The 4,393-nt window shown below is 39.1% G+C and overlaps 1 annotated feature.

Moving 5' to 3' along the window:
* Positions 1 to 502: an enhancer, noted in NCBI's record as "NANOG hESC enhancer chr4:63396948-63397449 (GRCh37/hg19 assembly coordinates)". NCBI's record gives its function as "activates a minimal SCP1, AML or CMV promoter by ChIP-STARR-seq in naive H9 embryonic stem cells {active_cell/tissue: H9 hESC(naive)}" and the evidence as "EXISTENCE:reporter gene assay evidence [ECO:0000049][PMID:30033119]".

The following is a 4,393-nucleotide window of genomic DNA, read 5'->3' on the forward strand; positions in this document are numbered from 1 at the left end:
ACAAAAAAACACTAAGTGCAAGATAGTACTTAGAGGCTACCATAGTTTTAAGGGTTTAAAGATGTTAGCAAAAGCAGTTGTAGTTGGAGAAGTCTTCTAGGAAATTAAAAGACTTGTTTGGATCCTCAAAGAATGGAGAAAACATTCCCAAACAGAGAGGAGGTGGAGAGAGCACTGCAGGACGGGGGCAGCCTTCTAGGAACAACAAAGAACTAGGAATGTGTGCTGAATAGCTGAGTTTGGCTTCAGCAACTGATTTCTGATGGCAAACAGCTGGTGAGAAGATGGGACAGACAGGCTGGAGCAAGAAGGCAAAGTGTGCCCACACTCCAGGTGGCTGCTCAAAGAACACTTAATGCTGCCTCTCTCTCCTACAATGCCTGTCTGATGGAGCAGGTGGTACCAGGTACAGTTTGGAGAAAATTTATAATTTTTAATATTGTTTTGTTTGTAAATTCATTTGGTGGAATTTAAGTTCTATAGAGGAAGTTTATCTGTGCTTTTTCTTTTTTAAAAAAACTTTGGTTTCTGCCTGGGACTTTGTTTCTATGAAAATCCTCCAGAGCTATCTGGAATATGGGTTTCTCTCCCTTTAACACAGACATAGGAAAAACAGAAGCCTTCTTCAAAAGCTCTCTCTGTTCCTGAGGACCTATCTTGTTTCCATGACAACCAACTTTTTACCCTCCAAGAACCCTCTCAGTGCCCCCTGGAGGTCTCAGAAGCACCACTGTGTGTTGGCATGTATTTTCTAACTACAACAAATCACTTTGGTCTGTGGCCATTAGGATGTAATTGCTCCAAAGTGTGTTGATGAATGATCTAAAATTGACTAGGTTCTTCAACTTTAGAGCCATTGATTCTTGCCAAACATTATGCCGACCCTTTGGCTAGACAGAATACCTGTCAATTCTGGAAACAACTTCACAGAGTTTGTGGGTTTGCATTGGATGCAACATAAAATCAAATGATATGACACTGTATTACCAGGCACTAGTGATAGGTCTTGCCAAAAAAGAAACGAAGGAAGGATGGAAGGAAGGATGGAAGGAAGGATGGAAGGAAGGAAGGAAGGAAGGAAGGGAGGAAAGAAAGATTTTTTGTTGCATTAAGCAATAAGGGTATCATAGGTAACCTTTTTCTAAAGCAATTTAGGTTGAGTGTGTTAGCAAAGACAACTAACAATGGATAGATAAGTGAATGTAATATAAGGAAAAGAAGACCCAATATTTGTTCAAGGACCTTGGTAGTGAAAAGAAAAAGCAAAGTAAAGCTGTAGGGGAAATAGAGTCAAAAGAATTGTGCTTCGTTTTTGTTTTTCACAATGGACTAATTTTGCTGATGTTTAAGAGTTCAAAAAAGCAAGCAGAATGAGAGAGACCCAACACAAATATAAAAAAGGGCTAATTGATAGGCAAATGTAGTTTAAAGAGATAAGAAGGAAGGTGGAGGAATTATCCTTGAGTAGAAATAGGGCATCCAAAAAGGCATGTTATCTTCTTCCAAAAGTGGAGGTAAGGAGATAAAGGTATTTTGAAAAAAAAAAATGAGAGTACATAAGGTAAAACCGGTAAGTATATTGGTAGCTGAAAGAGGATGAGAGGTCGAGGTTAAAAAAAATCTGTTTTGATATAAGCAATAATAGCAGATATGTATATTTATAGATATATTTTATATAAATATATAAAATATTTTGTAAAATATACAAAAATATACGTAAAATTTTTATATATGTATATATAAAATATATAAATTTATATATATTTATATATGATATATAAATACGTATGTATATGTGTCTGTCGGTGTGTGTGTGTGTGTATATATATATATGTATATATATATATAAATAAATTTTTAAAATGTTTTTAGAGACAGGGTCTTATTCTGTTTCCCAGGCTGGAGTGCAGTGGCACAATCATGGCTCACTGTAACCTTGACCTCCCAGGCTCAATCGTTTTTCCCACCTCAGCCTCCTGAGTAGCTGGGACTAATAACACCAGCCATCATGCCTACCTAATTTTTGCATTTTTGTTTAGAGATGGGTTTCACAATGTTGCCTAGGCTGATCCCAAACTCCTGGGCTCAAGTGATCTGCCTGCCTTGGCCTCTCAAAGTGCTGGTATTATAGGTGTGAGTCAATGTGCCCGGCCGAAAAATATATTTGATATAGCAATAATAATAACAACAACCAGGATCTTGGGCTGACGCTTATGTTCCAGGTTAAATGTTTATGGATCAATAGGATCATGCTTGTGGTTCTAGATCATGCTTGTTGTAGACCATGCTTGATAATGTTATTTTTCCCAGTGAGGTATATTTGATCTTTTGCTAGGAGTGAAAAAAATGCTTCTTTTATGTGACTTAGAGGAGTCAAGCCTCAAAATCCCTACTGTACCCAGTATTAAGAGTGAGAACCCTGGGCAAAATATTAAAGGCTTTAAATGAAACAAAAGAAAACTTCTACACTGTTGGATAGCTGTGAGGTTAGTGGGATGGCAGGAAGCTCAATCTTACAGTGCCTTGTAATGCACAGCAAGGACTTTGAACTTTACTTTGATTATGACAGAAAATCACTGAAGGGTGTATAGGAATTGCACAACATATATTTTAAAATAATCACTTTATGTGGTGCAGAGAGAAGACTAAACAGATTAAGGATATCAGCAGTGAAAACAGAAGTCTATTGCAATAATTTAGGAAAGATTAAGCTAGGTTGGACTACAGTTATAGAAGTCCAAGAGATGTAAGTGATAGGATTAGATACATATTTTAAAGGTAAGAGAAAAGATATGTTGATGTGGAGAAATAGAGGCATCAAGGTTATCTCCCAAATTTTTTATCTTAGTTACTAAAAATCCTTCACAACAGGGTTTGTGGTTGAAACTTAGGAATTTAGTTTGGCACACAGTAAGCTTAAAGTCTCTAGTACAGGGGTCCCCAACCACTACTGGTCCCCATGGCCTGTTAGGAACTGGGCTGCACAGCAGGAGGTGAGAGGCGAGTAAACGTTACTTCCTGAGCTCTGCTTCCTGTCAGATCAGCAGTGGCATTAGATTCTCGTAGGAGTGTGAACCCTATTGTGAATGGTGCATGTGAAGGATCTAGGCTGCACACTCCTTGTAAGAATCTAATGCCTGATGATCTGAGGTGGAACAGTTTCATCCCAAAACCATACCCTTCCACCAACTGCCCCAACCCAGTTCATGGAAAAATTGTCTTCCATGAAACTGGTCCCTGGTGCAAAAAAGTTTAGGGACTGCTGCTCTAGTAGACATCTGAATGGAGATATCATATAGGAAGGGTGAGCCTGAGTTTAAGGGATATCCAGTTTGGAGATACAGATGTAGGTTTATTCAGCATGTGGGTGTCTTTTAAGGTCATGGATTAAAAGATAACCAGGAAAGTAAGTGTAGATAAAGGAGAGGTGGAGTTTGTGGATGGTGCTTCATGGTGGTCTAATTTCCAAAGCTCACAAGATTAAGAGAAGCCAGCAAAGGAGCCTGGGCAAAAGTTAACTACAAGGAAGCAAGAATAGCCAAAATAGGCATGTATCCTGGAAGCTAAGAAAAGAAAGAATTTCAGGTCAGAGTGTGTGTTAGTCCATTCTGCATTGCCTTAAAGGAATACCTGAGACTGGGTAACTTAAAAGAAGTTTATTTGGCTGATGGTTCTGCAGGCTCTACAAGCATGGCACTAGCATCGTCTTCTGGTGAAGCTTCAGAAAGGTTTTACCCATGGCGGATGGTGAAAGGGGAGCAGGTGTGTCATATCGTGAGTGGATAGCAAGAGAGAGAGGGAGAGGTGTGACACTCTTTTAAACAACCTGATTTGGTGTGAATTCAAAGAGTGAGAATTCACTCATTACTGTGGGGAAGGCATCAAGCCATTCATGAGAGATCCATGTCCATGAGCCAAACACCTCCCACCAGGCCCTACCTCTTACATTTCAGCATCAGATATGGAGAGGCCAATTTCTAAACCATATCCAGGTGACTGAGAAACCCAGGCAAATATTAGTTCTGGCAATCTGAAGGTCTATAGCGACATTGAAGATAACAGTTAATGTGGAGTTGCGAGGATAAAAATGTGATTGGATTGGGTTCAAGACAGGAAAGGAGACAGATTGGGGATGATGGGTATAGATGCTACTTTCAAAGTGTTTTATTGTTTAAAGAAGGCAGAGAAATGTGTTCCTACGTGGAAAACGGGGATGTAAGATCAAATTTAAAAAAAAAAAACCTCTTTTTTGATATAAAAACAATAGTGCATGTTTTTGGCTGGTGGTTATGTTCCAGATTAGAAGAGGGAATTAACAATGCAAGAGAGAGAAGAAAAGCAGCCAAAGCGGGCGTGGCGTCCTGTGTAAAAGTGAAGGGTTTGGCCTTGGATA

The sequence above is a fragment of the Homo sapiens genome, chromosome 4 (genome assembly GCF_000001405.40).
Source record: "Homo sapiens chromosome 4, GRCh38.p14 Primary Assembly".
Taxonomy (NCBI): domain Eukaryota; kingdom Metazoa; phylum Chordata; class Mammalia; order Primates; family Hominidae; genus Homo; species Homo sapiens.